General features: G+C 37.2%; 1 protein-coding gene and 1 long non-coding RNA gene across 8 annotated transcripts in view; both read left to right on the forward strand.

The window, feature by feature from the left end:
• LOC107986019 (uncharacterized) overlaps nt 1-21,017 on the forward strand; it is a 72,345-nt gene extending 51,328 nt beyond the window's left edge. Inside the window, exon 4 of the long non-coding RNA XR_001740445.1 lies at nt 19,268-21,017. This is a non-coding gene — a long non-coding RNA (uncharacterized LOC107986019). The remainder of the gene's footprint in view (nt 1-19,267) is intronic.
• TAFA1 (TAFA chemokine like family member 1) overlaps nt 1-22,501 on the forward strand; it is a 554,078-nt gene that overhangs the window by 306,402 nt on the left and 225,175 nt on the right. The window lies entirely within an intron of this gene.

Consider the following 22,501-nt stretch of genomic DNA (forward strand, 5'->3'; position numbering starts at 1 on the left):
AACTTACTGTGATATAATGCTTTCTTGCAATTGATTTAATTTATACTTTCTGAACACTTCAGAAGTAATATAACAGTGTTTCCCTCTCAGACAAAATTGTTTCCTTGCACTTGGAGATGTTTTCCCTGTCCATTAGTTCTTTTTCATCCATTAGGCAGAGGAAATGTCTGCACTTCCTTTCATCTTCCCCAGTGAGCCTGTGCCCTCAGTCCCTGATGAACACAGGGCAAGCTAATGACACCCCATCTTGGTAGCAGCCAGAGGTGGACACTACTTCTAGTGGAGCCACTTAGATATTTCTTGCAGGAGTTTGAACTAGGGATCCAACATATTGAATTAGTTGATTTGGACTACGGAAGTGAGGGTCCATGTAGGGGCTGAAGAGACTATAAATAACCATGGACAGGTGAATGTGTGTGTCATGCTGAGAAGCCATTTGGGGAGGGGACATCAAAAGAATGAAATGAAAGGGACAGAAAAAGGAGGACATTGAAAGGGTTTGCAGCAGTGATCAAAAAATCTTGTAGCTAAGGGAGTGGAATCCATAAAAGGAGGGACAAAAACACTTATATGGTTTAGCTGTGTCCCTACCCAAACTCTCATCTTGACTCATAATCCTCACAATCCCCATGTGTCAAGGGAGAGACCAGGTGGAGGTAATTGAATCATGGGGGTGTTTTCCCCTGTGCTCTTCTTGTGATAGTGAGTTCTCACAAGATCTGATGGTTTTATAAGTGTTAGGTAGTTCCTCCAGTATTCATTCTCCTTCCTGCCACTTTTTGAAGAAGATCCCTTGCTTCCCCTTTGCCTTCCACCATGATTGTAAGTTTCCTGAAGCCTCCCCAGCCATGCTGAACTGTGAATCAATTAAAGCTCTTTCCTTTATAAATTACCCAGTCTCAGATATTTCTTATAGCAGTGTGACAATGGTCTAATACAGTAAATTGGTACCTAGGTAGTGGGGAAGTGCTAGAAAGATACCTGAAAATGTGGATGTGACTTTGGAACTGGGTAACAGGCAGAGAGGTTGGAACAGTTTGGAGGGCTCAAAAGACAGGAAGATGTGGGAAAGTTTGGAACTTCCTAGAGTTTGTTGAATGGTTTTGACCAAAAATGCTGATAGTGATATAAGCAATGAAGTCCAGGCTGAGGTGGTCTCAGATGGGGATGAGGAACTTCTTGGGAAGTGGAGCAAAGTTCCACATGTCCAGGATGGCACTTCCCACTCAGAGAATGCCTTTGGTCTCTCCCATTAGATTTTATTATGACCTCTTCATACAGAGCATTTCCAAAAGACAGCTAAGTTACTCTGAAAAATAAACAAGATAAACAGCCCTAGCTATGCTTTAGCAAAGAGAAGGGCAGCATTTTGCCCCTGCTCTAGAGATCTGTGAACTTTGAACTTGAGAGAGATGACTTAAGGTATCTAGCAGAAGAAATTTCTAAGCAGCAAAGAGTTCAAGATGTGACTTGGGTGCTCAGTTTTACGTATTCACAAAGAGATGGTTTGGAATTGGAACTAACGTTTAAAAGGGAAGCAGAGCGTAAAAGTTTGGAAAATTTGCAACCTGACAATGCAATAGAAAGTAAAAACCCATTTTCTGAGGAGAAATTCAAGCTGGCTGCAGAAATTTGCATAAGTAACCAGGAGCCAAATGTTAATCATCAAAACGATGGAGAAAATGTCTCCAGGCCATGTCAGTGGTCTTCACGGAAGTCCCTCCCATTACAGGCCTGGAGGCCTAGGAGGAAAAAATACTTCTGTGGACCAAGTCTAGGGCTTTGCTGCCTTGTGCAGTCTTGGGACTTGGTGTCCTGCATACCAGCTGTGGCTAAAAGGGGCCAATATACAGCTCAGACCACTGCTTCTGAGGGTGCAAGTCACAAGCCTTGGTGGCTTATTTGTGTTGTTGGGCTTGTAGGTACACAAAAGTCAAGAATTGAGGTTTGGAAACCTCTGCCTAGATTTCAGAAGATGTATGGAACTACCTAAATGTCCAGGAGAAGTTTGCTGCAGGGGCAGAACCCTCATGGAGAACCTCTGCTAAGGCAGTGTGGAAGGGAAATGTGGGGTGGGAACCCCCACTTAGAGTCCCCACGGGGGCACTGTCTAGTGGAGCTGAGAGAAGAGGGTCACCATCCTCCAGACCCCAGAATGGTAGATCCATTGATAGCTTACACCATGCACCTGGGAAAGTCATAGGTACTCAATGCCAGTCCATGAAAGCAGCCAGGAGGGGGACTTTACCCTACAAAGCCATGGAGACAGAGCTGCCTGAGGCTGTAGGAGCCCACCTCTTGTATAAGCATGACCTGGATGTGAGACATGGAGTCAAAGGAGATCATTTGGGGACTTTAATAATGACTGCCCAGGTGTAATTCAGACTGGCATGGAAGCTGTAGCCCTTTTGTTTTGGCTGATTTCTCACATTAGCCAAATGTGAGAACAAATGGAAAAAGAACATTTACCCAATGCCGCTACCCCCATTGTATCTTGGAAGTAACTAAATTGCATTTGATTTTGCAGATTCCTAGGTGGAAGGGAGACTTGTCTTATCTCAGATGAGGCTTTGGACTTGGGCTTTTGGGTTAATGCTGGAATGAAGTTATACTTTGGGGGACTGTTAGGAAGGCATGATTGGTTTTGAAATGTGAGGACATGAGATTTGGGAGGGGCCAGGGCAGAATTCTATGGTTTGGCTGCCTCTCCACCCAAAATCTCATCTTGAATTGTAATCCCCATAATCATCACGTGTCAAGGGAGAGACCAGGTGGAGGTAATTGAATCATGGGTGCAGTTTCCTCCATGCTGTTCTTGAGATAGTGAGTTCTCACAAGATTTGATGGTTTTATAAGTGTTTTCTAGTTCCTCCTGCATTCATTTCCCTTCCTGCCACCTTGTGAAAAAGGTGCCTTGCTTCCCCTTCCACCATGATTGTAAGTTTCTTGAGGTCTCCCCAGCCATGCTAAATTGTAAGTCAATTAAACCTCTTTCCTTTATAAATTGCCCAGTCTGAGGTAGTTCTTAATAGCAATATGAGAACAGACTAATATAATAGGTCTATGGAATTTTATCACATACACAGAATCGTGTAACCACTAAACAAAATATTTAGCACCTTTAGTAAAGGTAATACATTCACATGGTTTTAAAAAACAATATTTAAAAAATATTTAATGAAACATTTCAATCCTAACCCCACCCCCAATTTATACTGTTCCCTGTCCCATTGTCACTTTTACTGTTTTCTTCTGTTGTCCTTCCATTAATTCTCCTTGAAAATACAAAGCAAAATTACCATGTATTATAAACTTCATCCTCCTTATGTAAAAGTTATCTCACTACATAAATTTTTCTGCACCTATCTTCATTTATCTTGTTGGAGATCATTTTATACCCTCACAAAATGAGCTTCCTAATTCTTTTTATAGGTGCATAGTATCCTGTTATATAAACCCTGCACCTTTAACTTGCTTGAGCAATCTTTGAGTGGTTTTTTAAACTTAGAAACTCAAGATACAATATGTCTCACAAAACAAGAGTCTCAGTAAAGCTCAAAAGAAGGTGTCCAAATGTGGACAGTAAACTCTGGCAAGTTTACCAGATGGTGAGGAGTAAAGTGGCCCCCTGTCTGGAACTGGGAAAAGTAAAGCAGAGCTAAAAGCAGAAAGTACATCTCTCTGCACTGAAAAGATGGATTTTTTTTTAAGTCAAACAGAAGAGCATCTGAACTATTTAAGATAATGAGGTCATAACTGAGTTAAAAACTAGCATTGGAGACTCAGCCAATACTCTAAAAACTGTCAGAAGTCGGTCAGATGACTGACAACTGGTGCTTATGTGGGAAAGCAAGAAAGAACATCATTTCACTGTCTAGACCAAGTTGAAAGATTGTGTTTCAGAATGATAGCATTGATTGAATGTACATATTTTGGGAATATATTTTGTTTTGGTAAGTTTATTCAGTTTTATGTTCTTAGTTTATTTATATTTGTATTCGTAGTTCATTGGTAGATTTATTCAGCTTTTTAGTCTTAGTTCATTTTATCCTAGTTCTTTTGTATTAATTACTCATTTTTATATCATGTTATTTTAGCTTTTGATAAAATGATGAAATATTATATAAGTATTTGATAAAATGATCACTACAGAAGATCAGGTGTTTTCTTTTGCCCTAATTTAGGAAGAGAGAAATATTTGTAGTTGGAATTTGAAAGGCCAAAGTAATAATTACATTAAATCTTAATTCATTAAATAAAACTACTAGAGATAGAGAGGTGTTTATTTCCAGGCCAGTCCAGTGACCTCTAACTGCTTTACAGACTCCAACAGTTCCCGAGAAAGGCAGTTAAATTCAGTGACTATTTACTGACCATCTCTTATGTATTAAACACCATACACATGTCCAGAATGGCACTTCCCACTCAGAGAATGCCTTTGGTCTCTCTCATTCGAATTTATTATGACCTCTTCATACAGAACGTTTCCAACAGCTAAGCTACTCTGAAAAATAAACAGTTCATATGCTAATAGCTGGTAATGACAATGAACTCCCCCAGCTATTTGTCCATTGCCCTTTTCTTTTCTTGTTAATCTTTCTTTTTTTTTTTAATTTTGAATCTTTGTTCTCTTATTCATAAAAGTTCCAAGAGAATGGAGTACTTGTCTTTTCCATTGTTGTATCCTCAGCATCTAAGACAATGTCTGGTATCGAAGGTGCTAACTAAATACCTCTGGATGACTGGGACACAGGAAGCAGTCTCTCCTACAGGAAATACCTCCTGGCCAGAAGTATGGGAGACTGGAATGCTCATCCCCACTTGGACATTTGCTAACTATACAAACCAGCAAGGAAATCATTTTCCCTAAGCCTCAGTTTATGCATTGATAAAATGGGGCTAATTATAAAATAAAGTTCAAAATAAGGGTTCTAGAGCCAAAACACCTAAGTTCTATCCAAGTTCTACTACTAACTGTCCATGTGTGACCTTAGCCAACTTGAACCTCTGCGTCTCAGTTTTCTCATTTTTAAAATGGGAAAAATATTAGTAATCTACCTCATAGGATTGTTGTGATGACTACATATTTTTTTCAAAGAAGTATATGTCAAGGTGCCTGGTACATAAAAAATGCTCAATAAATATGACCCACTTCTATTATCAGCATTATTGTGAGAAATCAATGAGATGTCATGAATGAAAGTACTTTTACTGTATAAAAAGCTACACAGATAAATATTTCCAGATTTCCATGTTACCCTGTCAAGGACAAACATTTGTCTTCTAGCAGGAGGCTTCTAGAACCACATTGCTTTTAATCGAATTTATAGATATAATAAAGATCCTTCCAAATGATGGGATAGTGATAAAGGCAGATTTTACAAAGGAGGAGCTTTTGGTTGACCATAACATAACACTTCAAAAATTAGCCATTTACTCTGCCTAAAGAGGAAACAAAACAATGATTTTTGGCCCAATTGTCCTTGTTATGAAAATTCTTTTTGTTTTTTTTTGAGACAGAGTGTCACTCTGTCACCCAGGCTGGAGTGCAGTAGCGTGATCTCAGCTCACTGCAAGCTCTGCCTGCCAGGTTCACGCCATTCTCCCGCCTCAGCCTCTCAGCCTCCCGAGTAGCTGAAACTACAGGCGCCCACCACCACGTCCAGCTAATTTTTTTGTATTTTTAGTAGAGACGGGGTTTCACTGTGTTAGCCGGGATGGTCTTGATCTCCTGACCTCGTGATCCGCCCGCCTTTGCCTCCCAAAGTGCTGGGATTACAGGCGTGAACCACCGTGCCCGGCCTGAAAACTTTTTAGAAGGATTAAAAATATGTCACAAAGAGGCAAATTTATTAAAGGAAGCCACTGATTTGCTGACATGTATTCGAAAAGCAGCCAGGAAACCGCAGCCCTTTTCCTTATCAAAAAAAAATTAAGAGAAAAATAAAAGCTTTTTATTTACTTGTGTTACACTGGAAATATACTCACTAGAATTTCAAATATTAGTACTGCACCCACCATACAGTGCTTGCTTAACAAAAGTAGACATTACATTAGTGGAAATTGAAGTGTAGTAATAGTTTTATCCACAAAGAGTAAGGCAGAGCTATTTGAAAATGATAGAAATCTGAAATTGGATATTTAAATGTGGGAAAATGAAGGTGTCTAAAAGCATGTGAAAGTATTCTAACCATATTTTCATCCTGTTGCATATTAAAATAGAAAATACACAATAGCTGTGTGATTTAAATGATATATACTTGATATGAAAAAATGTAAAGGAGAAGGTTGCATACAGAAGAAATCATCCAAAATTCAAAATACTAGAAGGTTTTATTTGTTAAAGCCCAGGTTAATACAAACAAATTTGTAAAGTAAGTACAGTGAGAAATCTTCTTTGTAAAGTTTTCTTTATATTTGAACCTAGCAAAAGGTCTTTCTGGCTATAATTTTACCTTTCTAGTATGGCTATATTTTTCAGTATGGAAGATTTTTCTAAATAATCTGAATGAGGGGTGTGATTTGAATCTGTATCATGTTCTATGCCCACCTCCCATCTTGGGATATTGAGATGCTCAAAAAGTTTGCAGATGTTATTTTATTCCTGGAAGTTGTACTAATAAGTGATAGCCATTCCTATGGTACCTAGGAAATGAGATAAATTCTTTACCATTGTTTCAGACTATTATGTTCAAACAGCCACTGAAATATAATAGAAAAATACTTAATTACTTAGAGAAGCTAAAGAGTGATTTGGCAAGGTCAGAGTTTTAAAATGGAGAAATAAGCAAATAAAATTCTTTTTAATGCTAGTTAATTATTTGGTCAGTTGGTAAGAGGAAGTAAAAGTGAAGTTATCACGGAAAATGTTGTCCAAGGAAGGTTTATATAGTTGTTTAGTTGGGTGTTTTCATTTTTCGTGTGTGTTTTAGTGGGCCAGGCAAAAGGTCACCCCAGTAGACCACATAGTAGCTGTTTTTATCAGGATAGCTCCATTTTACCTCTCCTCCTGCAAACTGCAGTAAAAATAGAATATGAAATAATGTATTAGTTCCCTAGGATGGCCAAAACTAAGTACCACAGATTGGGTGGCTTAGCACAACAAAAATCTACTTTCCTTAAGTTCTAGAAGCTGGAAGTCTAAAATCAATGTGTCTGCAGTGTCTCTGGGTAGCATCCTTCCTTGTCTCTTTCTAGCTTCACCAATCCTCATTATTCCTTGTCTTTCAGGTGCATAACTCTAGTTTCTCACTCTGTTGTCACATGGTGTTTTTCCCATATGTTTTTTTTCCCCCGATGTTTTCTTGTTACATAGCCACCAGTCATATTGGATTACAGCTCACCCTAATGACCTCATCTTAATGCAATTATATTTTTAATAACACTATTTCCAAGTAAAGTAATATATAATATATGACTATATATAAATGGCTATATATATATGACTATATATGACTATATGACTATATATATATATATATATATATATATATATATATATATATATATATAGGTAGAAGGGGTTAGGACTTCAATTTATCTTTTGGGGAGACACAATTCAACCTATAAAGGCTTAGGGTAAGGGAGAATTCCTTGAAACATAATTTTCTAGAGTAGTAATCATTTTAGATCTCTTTAGATCTCTGGGAATTATAGGGATACACTAGTAAATTTCCTAGCTAGAGTAAATAATTAAAAGATTCTCCAGTGGGGTGGGGGTCAGGGGATGGAAAGAAAGTGCCTTATACCTCTAGTGGGTTTTCAAGTATCACCAAGGGAAGAGGATATGTAATAGGAATATTGAGAGGCATCAGTGAAGTTGTTAAGGACAAAAACTCAAGAGCCAAAAGGCTGGTTCACACCCTGCTCCACCACTTCTAGCTATGTGAACTGTGGCACATTATTTGGTGACTCCACACCTCATTTTCTTCATGTAAAATGGACATGATAACACTACAAGGCAGCTGTAAGTATTAAATGAGCAAATACAGCACCTAGAATAATACTTTGTATGGTGAGGCATAGATTTAAAATGTTTGAAAAACAGTGAATTGGAGTAAGTTACTAATGAATACCCTTTGGTGATTGAAAAGACAGAGGAGGAAAAAAAATACAAAACCGTGACTTCATGCAAGGGCTAGATATTTGAAACTGTTATTGCAGAGAAAATACAAACAAGGGAGCTTCAGATTCCAAAAGGAAGATCAGGTGTTAGGAGAATACTAGAGTTGGTTAAATGCTACCTGATAATTGTCTAGTGTGTGACCTTCATGGTCTTTACCCAGGTAGTTGTATTTCTTTAAACTTTTATTACATTATAGCTTTGTACCTCCTCTTTATTGGGTGGGATTTTTTTCCAGTGGGATTAGTGCCTAAGGGGAAATAACACGTCTCTCTTTGGGTTTGACCTTGCAAAAATTTAATTAAGTGACAGTAATTATCAGGCTGTTATTAACTTTGAAACATCTAAGGCTTGCATGCTACCCTAGAGGGTTTGTCTGAGTTTAGTTTTCACATATTCAGAAATATTCTTTTTAAACTCACATATACAGTTGTGCTTGTGTGTGTGTGTGTATGTTTAAATTTACATGCTGTCAAAAATAGATTTTGACTGAACAGTTTCAATTTGGTCTTATACAAATTTGTTGAGTGTCCCCTCCGCCTCCACCTCCTGGATGGATCTGGATCTCCGAGGAGCTAAAGCTGGTCTCTGGAACTACATTATGTAAAAATCTGTCCCAACTACAGTCATTTGTCTCTGGGTCTTTGGACTGAGATGTGGTCTCCTGTGGGTAAGCCACCTAGGTTGCTATCCATGGTGCTGAATCTCCCCTACACAGGAGCAGGGGTGGATCTTTCTCTAAAGTGTCCACATTCCTGTAACAGCCTCATACCATGTTTCCCCTGAGACCAATTATAGCTTAATTCTCATATTTCTAATGACTTTCTGACAAATACCTACATTTCTTTTCTATAAACTTTTACTAAAATTTCAAAACATCAAAACCTGTAGTGTTTTTGAACATGATCTTTGACTCCAGCAAGGACTAGTCAAATATCAGATCCACCATATGACTCTGGAAATCCATGTAACTACCATTAGCTTCTGTTTTTTCATCAATAAGGTGTGAATAATGATAGTATTGTTGGGATAATGTATGTTAAGAATTTAATACATTGCCCTAGCCCATAGCAGTGTGCCTAATCAGCATCACTAAATTTAGCTATTATTTCTCATTACACATTTTCTAAGACCAAAGTCCATTTTATAATACAATGATGAAAAAAGTTACTTAGAGTGTTTATTTGTACCTCATTTTTCGAAAGTTGGAAATTATTTTATTAACTTAAATAAGAATTATTTGCTCAATCTTGGGATTCAAAATGAGAAAGAGATAGTTCAAATATATTTTTTCTAGCATCCCATTGCTGGTCTAGAGTGGTCTTATAGGTAAAGTAATCACCAGGTATATAAATACAGACTAGCTCCAAATTCTACACATCCAGCCATCTGATATTTGGATCAGTAACATCTACATTCAGCAGTAACACTTAACTACATACATGAATAATATGACATGTTAATTTTTTCAAACTTACTGTATATATGGCTTTGTCCAGTTCTTATTTGTGGTTTTATTAAAGATTTGCCTCTACTTTTTTTTGGAAACAATATTTATATTTTATCTCTACTATGTGATTGTTACTTTCGTTTAGCTGCACAGGGCAAGGCACTTGAAAAAACTGGAGATTTAAAGTTCTCTAGACTCCTTTCTTGATTTAGCATATTAGTTTCATCTGGAGAGTTTAAGTATTCATGAGAAGGTGGGTTCCAAGAACTAGAAAGACATAAGGGGTGAGCTCCATGTGAGAAGGTGAGCTGAGGTCAGGATTAGTTATATGTAAAGATGCATAAGAAATGGCTAATCAGTGTGCAAGAGACTCATAACTGCCCTTGTTACCTCACTGGTTTCTAATATGACTGTTTAAGCCTTCTTAAGTGTTCTGAAATTATTATATATTTTTAAGACAAAAATGCTCATTTTTACTATTGCCAAGTGTTGAATAAATATGTGTAATCACTCCCCAAAATGCCAAGCATAGTAATAAATCGGGTGACATAATGAAAATTTTACTTCCTAATTTGAAAAGGAGCCTCAAAATGATGGAGCATTCATGTGCTAAAAACCTATGATTTATAAGCCAATAATATTGTATGAATTCAGAGGACCCCAGAAGGCTTTATACTGAAGGTAATTGTCTTATATACACTGCTTGACATCCAAAATTTCACTTTATCTGTTGCATTCTGTCTTCATTAAAATGCTATCACCCCTGGAGTGGTCATACTGTAAGCTATTGCTCTTTCATTTTAGTTTTATTAAAAGTTATTTGTATTCATTTTATAATAAATTAGAAACACTTTTGCTACTACTATTTCTTCCCTATACTACCTGTTACCTGTCTTAGTGAATTTGCTATCTCTTGTACAGGTCTATTACCCAGAATAGATGGCTTAGTAAGTTGATGCCTTTATAACAAACAATTCAGAGGGACAAAAGCTTCTTATAAGTACCACATGCTAACCAATTGCACCACTGGAGCCACAAAAAAAAGGCTTCTTATTTACTACTTTGTTCATGTAAAACTACATAATGCACTTTATAGTCAACAATAATGAGGTTGTTTTCATCATCCTCCTCCTTTACACTTGCATGGAAAATTTGTCATTCTCATCAAATGATTTCATCAGGAATATAATGCTCATTTATTTTGATCATATGCTTATTAATGACACAGAGAAAGAGATGCTATTACAAAGTGGTGAATAGCTTGTCCCATCTCATACACACAAACACACACACACTCACTCACTCACCTAAAAGTAGCAGGTAGTTGGAAAGCTTTGGTTTCACTGGAATAGTATCTTAATTTAATATTCTAGCCTACACAGCTTGAATGATCTTCTTCCTTCCTACTGCTCCAATCTTTATCACCTTGCTTCTCCAGTATGTTACCGTTATACCAGTTGCTTCACATCCCTAGAAGCCAAGCTGGTTCCTGCTTCAGAAACCTTACCCTTGATCTGGAATGCTCTCATCACAGATCTGCACATTGCTAATTCTTCCTCATCACTTATATCTGAGCTCAAAAGTCTTCCTAATTCAAGGTTTACCTTACCCCTGGTACTCTGAATCCCACAACCCTGAAAGCTCTGTAAAAGTGAAATATTTGTCTATTCTGTTTACCACTGGATCCTTAGTCTAGAACATACAAAGCATACGATAGGTGTCCAAGACATATTTTCTGAATACAATAATGAATTATAAAATACAAAAGTGAAATAATAATCAATTATAATATGCCCAAAGATATCTAGTACCTTGAAGGGATAAGGAAGAAATAAGCTATAATAATTATTGTCACTTACTGAACACCTACAATAATCAAGGTATTATACCTCTTACCTCATTTAATACTAACACGAACTTTGTACCACAGCACTAATAAATAGCCAAGAGAAAATTTAACCCATGTCTATCCTATTACAAAGCCATGTAATTAGACATTGGGCACAAATATTGGAAGAAGCCCAGAATATTTACACTGAGAGACCCAAATACAGATTTACCTACTAGCACTTTTCTATTTGGATGTTGGAAATAGCTATTTGTGCATGAATAATTTTCTCAGGATTTGTATCATTTAGGATTTTGTTGGCAGTGGCAGAAGCTGCCACCTAAACTTACTTGAGCAAAAATATAAAATAAGTAAATGTATTGGCCCACAGAGTTGAACAGATGGGAAGGATGGCTTCAAAGGGGGCTCAACATGGTCCTCAAATCATGTCACCAGAACCCAGGTTCTCTCTTGATTTTCATACTTCACTTCCTTGGTGTTAATATGGCAGGATGTTAGTTCTAGCAGCTGCAGGGATTATATATTCCTTTATGTCAGTGGGAAGGAGGAAGTTTGCTTCCCCAGTAGTAAAGACTACTGCCAGCCCACATGGCACTTTTGTGCAAATTGCAAAAGGTAACCCTTTCTCGAGGAAATTTCCAAAGTTAGTTTATGATTAATTTATCAATAATTATTGAAACTTATATAAGCTACTCTACAAAATTATACAAATCATACTGTTAGAAGTAATATAGTAGAATATGTAAATTTTTAAGATTCAAGTACACTCATATTAGATGTTACGTAAAAATTTCATGTCTTTTTTTCAGGAAAACAAATTATGATACTTTAAAAGCTTACTTGTACCAATAACCAAACCATAGACTTCACCACTTTTTCTAGTAGGAATGGAGATCTTAAGTAGTTTTTGTTTAATTTTTAGAAGCAAAGGTCTCGGCTTCTCAATTACCAGTATCAGCTAAGTCAAGTATACCCTAAATATTTTTAAATAAAAGTGTTTGTAATTTTTTCTGGTGAATTATTGCCATGAATATTTCAGTACTTCAACAAGAGATGTTCTAAATCTAAGAAAACTATGTATAAGTTTTAGTTCCTCATGTTCCTGATGTTCCCCCAGTATCACATGACTATATTCCTTGGTAAATTTCCAATTTATAGTTTATATTGTTGAAGTAGTTCATATTCATATTCATTACAACTTTTCAAATTATAATTCATATAAACACTATCATAAACTTGAATCTTAAAGGTGATATATGTTAATGATAAATATAGTGAAAAAAGAAATTCATTTTAAAATTTAGTTCTGGATAATTTCTATGATCAATATAATCATGCTGTTTATATTTGAAATAATCATGCTGTTTATATTTGAAATGAGTCTAATATTTTCTATTCTGGAGAAGCCAATGTTAATGCTAAAAGATAGTGAAATTTATTTAGTTTCAATTGTGTGGTTTTTAAAATATTGCTTCATTTTTATTCAGAGAATTTTTTTTTAGTGCTGTCAAGTGTTTACGTATGCTAAATTTTGGTTGCTTATTATATTAGTCCATTTTCATGCTGCTGATAAAGACACACCCGAGCCTGGGCAATTTAAAAAGAAAGAGGTTTAATTGGACTTACAGTTCCACATGGCTGGGGAGGCCTCACAATCATGGTGGAAGGCAAGGAGGATCAAATCACAACTTACATGGATGGTGGCAGGCAAAAAGAGAGCTTGTGCAGGGAGACTCCCATTTTTAAAACTGTCAGATCTCATGAGACCCATTCACTATCAAGAGAACAGCACAGGAGAGACCTACTCCCCACTGCCATGATTCAATCGTGTCCCACTGGGTCCCTCCCATAAAACGTGGGAATTATGGGAGCTACAAGATGAGATTTGGGTGGGGACACAGAGCCAAACCATATCATTCTGCCCCTGGCCTCTCTCAAATTTCATCAAAACCAATCATGCCTTCCCAACAGTCTCCGAAAGTGTCAATTCATTTCAGCATTTACTCAAAAGTCCATAGTCCAAAGTCTTATCTGAGACAAGCCAACTCCCTTCCACCTATGAACCTGTAAAATCAAAAACAAGGTAGTTACTTCCTAGATACAATGGGGGTACAGGCATTGGATAAATACAACCATCCAAATGGGAGAAATTGGCCAAAACAAAGGGGCTACAAGCCCCATACAAATCCAAAATCCAGCAGGGCAGTCAAATCTTAAAGCTCCAAAATGATCTCCTTTGACTCCATGTCTCACATTCAGGTCACACTGATGCAAGAGGTGGGTTCCCATGGTCTTGGGCAGCTTCACCCCTGTGGCTTCACAGAATACAGCCTCCCTTCTGGCTGCTTTCAGAAACTGTTGTTGAGTGTCTGTGGGTTTTTCAGGTGCAGGGTGCAAGCTGTTGGTGGATCTGCCATTCTGGGGTCTGGAGGACGGTGGCCCTCTTCTCACAGCTCCACTAGGAGTGCCCCACTAGGGACTCTGTGTGGAGCTGTGACCCTACATTTCCCTTCCACACTACCCTAGCAGAGGTTCTCCATGAGGGGCATGCCCCTGCAGCAAACTTCTGCCTAGGCATCCAGGCATTTCCATACATCTGAAATGTAGATGGAGGTTCCCAAACCCCAGTTATTGACTTCTGTGCCCTGACAGGCTCAACACCGTGTGGAAGCTGCCAAGGCTTGCAGCTTCCACCCTCTGAAGCCATGACCTGAGTTCTACGTTGACCCCTTTCAGCCATGGCTGGAGCAGCTGTGATGCACGGCATCAAGTCCCTAGGCTGCACACAGCACGGGGATCCTGGGCCCAGCCCACCAGAACCACTTTTTCCTCCTAGGCCTTCGGGCCTGTGATAGGAGGGGCTGCCCTGGAGACATTTTTCTCATTGTCTTGAGGATTAACCTTTGGCTCCTCATTACTTATGCAAAATTCTCCAGCAGGCTTGGATTTCTCCCCAGAAAATGGGATTTTCTTTTCTATCACATTGACAGACTGTAAATTTTCTGAACTTTTATGCTTTGCTTTCCTTATAAATCTGAATGCCTTTAATGGCACCCAAGTCACCTCTTGAAGGCTTTGCTGCTTAGAAATTTTTTCCACCAGATACCCTAAACCATCTCTCTCAGGTTCAAAGTTCCACAAATCTCTAGCTCAGGGACAAAATGTCACTAGTCTCTTTGCTAAAACATAGGAAGAATCATCTTTACTTCAGTTCCCAACAAGTTCTTCATCTCCATCTGATACCACCTCATTCTGGACTTTATTGTCCATATCACTATGAGCATTTTGGGAAAAGCCATTCAGCAAGTCTCTAGGAAGTTCCAAACTTTCCCACATTTTCCTGTCTTATTCTGAAACCTCTAAACTGTTCCAACCTCTGCCTGTTACCCAGTTTGAAAGTCTCTTCCACATTTTCAGGTATCTTTTCATCAGCACCCCACTCATGGTAACAATTTATTGTATTAGTCCATTTTCATGCTGCTGATGAAGACATACCTGAGACTAGGTAATTTACAAAAGAAAGAGGTTTAATTTGACTTACAGTTCCACATGGCTGGGGAAGCCTCACAATTATGGTGGAAGAGAAAAACGAGCAAGTCATATCTTACATGGGTGGTGGCAGGCAAAAAAGAGAGCTTGTGCAGGGAGACTCCGATTTTTAAAGTCGTCAGATCTCATGAGACCCATACACTATCATGAGAAAAGAATGGGAAAGACTTGATCCCATGAATAATCATTTCCCACATGGTCCTCCCACAACACATGGGAAATATGGGAGCTACAAGATGAGATTTGGGCGGGGACACAAAGCCAAACCATATTTCTCATCATGTTGCTTATAACATTAATGTTGCTTAAAACATTATACCAAATTAACAGTAAACAATTACATTTGAAAGCAAATAGTTTTGAAAGTGTAACATTGTCTTGCATTCTAAAACCTATCTATTTAAACTCCTTACTTCAAATCATGGGCTATTTTTTGTCGTCCTAGATGCTAGATAGGTGCAGTCTTGATTCTTAAACTTGTCTATCCCATGTCCAAGCATAATGATCTGCATATACCTTGTAAAAGAACAGTCTTTACTTTCATCTGTTTGAAAATTGTCCAAATGTGCTGATTTTCTTAGAACAAGATATTTAAGCATCATCTACCCCCGCAAAGTTGTTCAAATAAATATGGAAACCATGTATGCTGGAGTTGACAAAGTTCTGATAAAATAAGAAAAAAGTCAAAATAATGAAGATGTATCAATATGAATTGTATCCCCTCAGATGTATTATCTTTCTGCAGTGTACACCTGGACAATGGTATGCACCTCTCCTGAAAAGAGTACAGAAAATAAAAGCCCTAATCCTCACTCTCTTTGGCCCTAACTGGATGGACTTGTGTTGTTTGCCTAAATCAATCACTATTACTGGAACTTGAATTATTCTGATGGCCCTTGCCTCACTCTCAGGCCCTGGAGTTAAAGTCAATTTCCATAGAAGCTAGAAGTGGAGAAATGTGTGTTTTAATTTTATTTTAAGAAGTGGGTATGAATATTAGCCTGCAGATATCAAATATCCCTTACATGTTTGATTATAAAAATAAGTAGAACTGTAAAAAGGAATCCTTTTTTTTCAACATTAATCCAAGAAACAATTTTCATGCCATTATTCTGCCTAAAGGTAAATATCTAAGTATACCCTTGAATAGGATTAAGATGGCTCCCATCGTTCTTGTTTATTTGGCTAGGCTTTAGGATTTTGTTCAGTTAGTGTTTGGTTGTTGTTTTTCCTATGGTAGTCTATGAAAAATCTTTAGGAGGAAACTACCCTTTGTATTGAACACCTGGTCCAATTAGGTAGCGATAGTTGACCTGTGAATGCATAGGTAAGTGTACTTTTTCAAAAATTAAATTCGTATTGGAACACCTGTTCCTGTCCATAGAGTTAATTGTATGTTCAGAACTGAGCTTTATTTGGAGACTTATTCATAAAGGGAATTAATATCTGCCACTTTGCTACAGAGTTACAGCAAAGTCATGCCACCAACACATAATCATTCCTGTCACTTCCTCAGTTCCCTACACACAGATTCTCCTGCTATTAATGTTCCACAGATTGTTGTCAAATATACATCATTAGATAAGATAAAAATGATTGACAAATTTTTCTTTTGATGGGATTGCTTTTTGACAAAGTATCACTATATAGTACACATATTTGTGTGTCTACACATACGCAATATCATGATTTGTGATGGCTACTAGTCAATGAATAAGTCGCCTTTTCACTGATACTAGTGCTTTATTTGTAAGTGCATTTAGCAAGTGCTTTTATATATGAAATCTTAAACATTCTTTTTACATGTATAACCTGTGGTGAGAGATGCTCAGCCCAGCTTCCCCATCTTAATGAAACAGGAGGAGCTTCAGGACGAAAAAGATCATAAATTATGTTTAAAGGAATTTTCAGGTCCATAGTTTGAGAAAGTTAGCTAAAGATTGACTTACCATAGTTATTCTTCGGTCATAAGATATTTATACACATATTGATATATTCTTATAAATATTATATATAATATTAATATTTATCACTATATAACATTGAATAAGAGAAAAAGAAAATATATTAAGAAAATCATCAACTAGACACAAAATAAAGACTTTCTTCTCTGTTAAAGAGAACTTCAATAAGTAAAGGCTCATGGAATATTCTCCTGTGGAAATCATGAAGAAACAGAGGCCCCAACCATTTTTCTAAGAAAGGTTAGCTCTTCTCTTCCTGGAAGAGAGAATGCCAATTCACATGCCCTTTTCCAGTCCCACTGAGCAATTAGATTTTATGCTTTCTGACTGGATATGGACAAAAGAGGAAAGTTATAGAATTTTCCAATTATATCAATTCCACAGAAAACTTGTCCGAGACATGCTTAGTTACCAAGTACATGCTTGATTCTGTCATGTTCAGTTGTTGGTGTGGAAGGACATCATGTCCTCTCAGCTTGCTTTGGGAATGGCCGTTCTACCTCCATTAAGTTGTGCATGGAAAGTGTTAATGGCTTTGCTGGGGCGCGGAAATAGTTTTGGAATTGAGCTAATGGTGTATTTCCCCACCTTCACACCCTAAAAATTCTCCTAAAGATACATTACTCGGTTCACTTTATTCCTCCTATGCCATATGTGCCTAGCTTTAAAAATCAAAAATGTCACTAAAGTTCCTTATATAGTTCTTTATATAGACTTTTGACTATCCTAGAATCTGACAAATCAAATCATTTTAATGAAGCACAGCAAACATCTCATGTTGAAACAGCTGTAAGCACACTATGCAAATTGTGTTTACTAGTAGCTTATGCTCCAGAGAAATAATCTTTATATGACTGCTTTATTATTTACAGTAGTTTTGAAATTTAATTTTTGTCAACATTGACAGATGCCTTCCATGTTAATACTTGGGCTGCTATATATGGAAAAGGCTAAACATATGCAGAGATTTCATGTTTGTGAACTGATAATGTGGTTGACAAATGGGTTTAACAATATCCAGTCATTTCTGGGCAGTCGATGAAATTCACCTGAGGTCTGTGAAGAGGAAGGTCAGAGGAATATGAATGAAGAAAGAAGAAAGCAGTGGCTCTGGAGGGCCCTGCATATAATGAAAGCATGACAGAGGGTGATTAATTATATTTCAGAGCCAGATAATTCCCAGAGAATATGTGTGCATGATAAAAAGTTTCTAACCTTTCCAGTTGTAATTAAATGAGGGATTCACTGGCCTAAGCTGAGTAAAGGCTGTTTTGTTCCATAACTGTACGAATGCACATAATGAAATAGTTTATTTCAAATGTGCATTTTTTACTGCCTGAGTTGTGAAGTTGACAAAACTGGATAATACCCAGGGGGTGAGGAGGAGGTTCAGTCCACTGGGGAGGACTCCCTCCCTTAGAAATGAACTGGTTAAATAAATTTAGAATGGCTTGGAAAATTTACCTGTCCTAAAATATCTGAGGATATACCCTCAGGTAAAAAAAGGAAATAGAAGTAATTCTTAACCAATACAGTTTCATGTAGCTTTAGATTTAAATCTTCTGCAGAATAATGTGTTTATAATGTTGTTCGGGCTTTTCATAATGTTCTGCCTTTTAGGTGCTAACTTGCAGTGGTCCGGGCTTTTTCTCTCTTTTTTCTTGGCATCTCCTTTCAGACAAAGGAAAGTAATGGGTCCAGAAAACATAATAAAAACCTTTTAGTTTTTATGAGCTGGTTTGAGTGAATTCTGAATTCATTAGATTCCAATTTTTATAACAAATATTTATTGACCACTTTGTACATGCCTGATGCTATACTAGGTACCAGGGGATTCATGCCAGACATACAACAGTGTCTGCCACATAGTAGGTCTCAATGAATAGGTGTTGAATGAGTTGGTGAAGTTGAACTGTGTGTTAATATTTGAATTCAGTGGATTTGGTTACTTCTTGGTCTACTTTTCTAATATATGAAGAAAAAGTAGAGACAGCATAATGAATAAATATTTCTAAAGTGTTTTGGTTAATGACAAAAATAGCCCAATGCCTCCATTATTTCTGACTCTATTTTTTTCAATGCAATGAATTGCATTCATTCATTTTTTTGATAGCAGTATATGAGTGACTCAGAAGCAACTTAATATTTAGAATAGCTGGTACAGGATAAGACAAAAAGTAAGTCAAACTAAATACATATTAATTGAAGGGTCAATAATTTGGCAATGAGTTGTGGAAGGGAATGGTAATTGAGTATTAGGAAAAAGAGTTCCAATGCGTCATTTAAAAGATTGTTGTTTTCTGGATATAATGATGGATATTATGTGTTTATAGGTCCTGCCTTTCCGAAGATTTTACAGAGACCCCTTTCTTCAAGTGAAAGGTTATCAACTGTTGGTAGTATGCTGCATTAACAGACAACTCCTATCTCAGTCACTTGCCACAACCAAGTTGCCACAACCATCTTACTTAGGCCATATGTCAGCTGTAGCTTTTCTCCATGTTGCCTTCCTTCCTAAATCTAAGGCTAAAGAACCAACTTTCATATAGAACATTGCCAGCCACTGCAACAGAAGGTAAAGAGACCTGGTGAGCTATGGGCTGGCTCTTAAAATGCCTATAAGGAAGTGACACACAACACTTCCACCCACATCCCATTGGTCAAAGAAAGTGAAATCATTGAAAACTCCCTGCAGGCTAAAGTGTGCTCTGTTTTGCCTCCTGTCAGGTCCCCTGTACCTATCATGGTCCCTGGAATATGCCAGATGCTTAATAATTATTGATTACAGGACCAGCTACATCATTCACAGGCCCAGTGCTAAATGAAAATGGGATGACTTTATTCAAAAAGTAGGGGGGAAAGTACAATTAAAGTTACTCAAATTAAAACTTCATTCTTTCTTCTGTAGTCTCTCTCTCTTCTGGATCTGTCGAGGTGGTTTTTATATTTGCTGTTTTTATTTATTATTTAATGTTGTACTTGTCCAGGTTTTAGAGACACTTGCTGATGAGTACAGATGTGAACAAGTGCCTGGGAGCCTGTAAATTATCCTTCCCACAGCCTTGAAATCCAACGCTTTGCAATGTGTTTGGTACCAAACACATCAGAATCAGGGGTGGCCAAGTCGTCTGCCAAACTCACTGTGGTGCTGCCAGCTGGGGACAGGGCAGCTGTCTATTAAAATTCTATAATTTTAATAGAATTATAATGTTCTGTTAGTTTTATAGTACATGTGTTGCCAACCAGTTTGTCAGTAAGATAGAAATTTACATACATGTACAGACATTCACACACTGAGACTGATTTAGCTCTCTGGTGATGAAACCACCAATACCAAGGCAAATTGTGCCCTTCTAATGGTGACACACCTCGGCTCAAGGGATGGGATGCACCATATGCTTCTCCCTCTCCTGGCTATCAAGGATGGCCTCTTTGATGATTGAGTTTTATGGAAAATATTTGAATATCCTTGAAGTCATTATATGCAGAAATTGGAAGGCCCTAAATCTAAAGGAGGGTAATATGTTAGACAGACATTTATTAATAGAATCATAGATCCTTCAGGTATAAGGGATCTTTAAAGTCGCCAAGCTTGAATGTCTTTCTGCTGAGGAATGGAAACCCACAGAAATGACAAAGCTTAGGTTGCACTGCAGTGCATTCCTACAGTCTTGACCAGAATCCAGCTCTCCTGACCGTCCATCAAATCTTAAATTGTTTTGATTTCTTGTTATGTTTTTCTTCTTCTTTGAGTGTTTAAATTACTTTGTTTCCAGTCTTTATTACAAGTGATAGAAGAGGATAAATCTCTTATACTGTTTGAGAAAGTTAAGTTACATGAAAACATGAAACCTAGTTCTTTCCTTATGATTACTTAAAAGATTTTAAAGTAATCTGGTCTAAGTAGGCTTATTTACCTGAAAAATAATTGAATTTAAACCCTCTGAATCATGTCCTCTTCAATAAAAAAGCACTGTGTAATATACCTACTAATAAAAGAAATAGATCCCAATAGTTAAATTCATAACTAGAAACAGAATTCATAACACTAATAAACATCCATTTTTTTTAAAATTACCTTAATGCAGATAACTCAGAAGTCAGCATTTTATTTAGAAATGATTCTTTCTCTTTCTCCTCTGCTGTCCTCAGCAAATATATTCCTTTCACAATGTACTTGAGGTATCTTGGGTCCTATTTGGCATATTAAGACTATAATTTGGTTCACCTTAAGGACATAAAAGAGATAGTTATAAAAATATTTAATCCCACAAAGAGATTTGATCCTTGGATATTACTTCTACACTAGTAGAATACAGTTCAGTGTGTGTGATGTTTAAAGCTAAAATTTGAATTACTTCAAACAAAATAGAGAACAGTCACAACCAAGGATAATGTGAGTGAGAAATACAAATCTCTAGAACAGCGATTCTCAACCAGGGGCTATTTTGCCCCCTTCCTTCATCATTCCCCCACCCCAGGGACATTTGACAATAGCAGAGACATGGTTGTCATGACTGATGCTTGGTTGGGGGTGGCAGGGAAGAGGCTTACTGGCATCTAGTGGGTAGAAGCCAGGGATGCATCCTACATTACACAGAGCAATCCTCATCCCCAGCGAATAATTATTGAGTCCAAAATATCAATACTGCAAAGTTGAGAAACCCTGCCCGAATGGCTTATTGCTCAAGTTTTGTCCAATGTTGTCACATGGATACGCATTGCTGTTGTTTGCCATTGTTACCACTTAGGACTTTGACTAAGTTAAATTCATTCTTGGCTTTGTCCTTTAGGTAAAATCACTTTTTCATGTCCCCATCCCAAAATGAATTCATCATGCTCAAAATGGATTGAGAAATAAATGTTTTTCTTTAAAGTTTAAAATACATGTTTTCATATTAGAAGCATTAAATCCTTTACTCCAGTTTAGTATTCCAAAGATGGGGAAAACTAAGCCATGGTTTGAATCTACTTTATCATACTGAGCTATTTAAATTCTTCATTATCATAGAAATAATTAGTTATTTTCATAGTAACACTAGAATGCTTGATAGCTTTGATAAAGCAAGTGATGAGAATACGACTAAAACAGTGTTTCTCCTAAAATGATAATTTTACCTGAATATTTTATGTGCAGTTTGAGTAAATATACAGTATGTTTACATATATATGGATATATATAATATTTACATTTAACCTTATTCACCATTTGAGGTGAGGGTAGAATATACTACTTATCAAACCCCTTTTCTTTTCCCGGTAAAATCCAAGTCGATTGAGAGATGGTGTATGTTTTAAAAATGAAGATTAAAATAACATTTTGGCTTTCTTACTGGTAAAGCAGTTTGAGAACAAGGCTTTGGTTTGTGGCCACAACCTGGCTTCCTTGTATCTTCCCCTCCAAGTTGAATGGATGCAGGGGTGTGTTCTGAGTCTTCATGCTTTCAGATATACTCATCATCATTGCCCTGCTCTGCTCTGGGCAAGGAGAGGCTGCCCACTGCAGACTGTACTTTCCAGGCTCTTGTGCCAGCTGGATCTAGCCAATGGGCTTCACTGATGGGAGA

This window comes from Homo sapiens, chromosome 3, assembly GCF_000001405.40.
Source record: "Homo sapiens chromosome 3, GRCh38.p14 Primary Assembly".
NCBI lineage: Eukaryota > Metazoa > Chordata > Mammalia > Primates > Hominidae > Homo > Homo sapiens.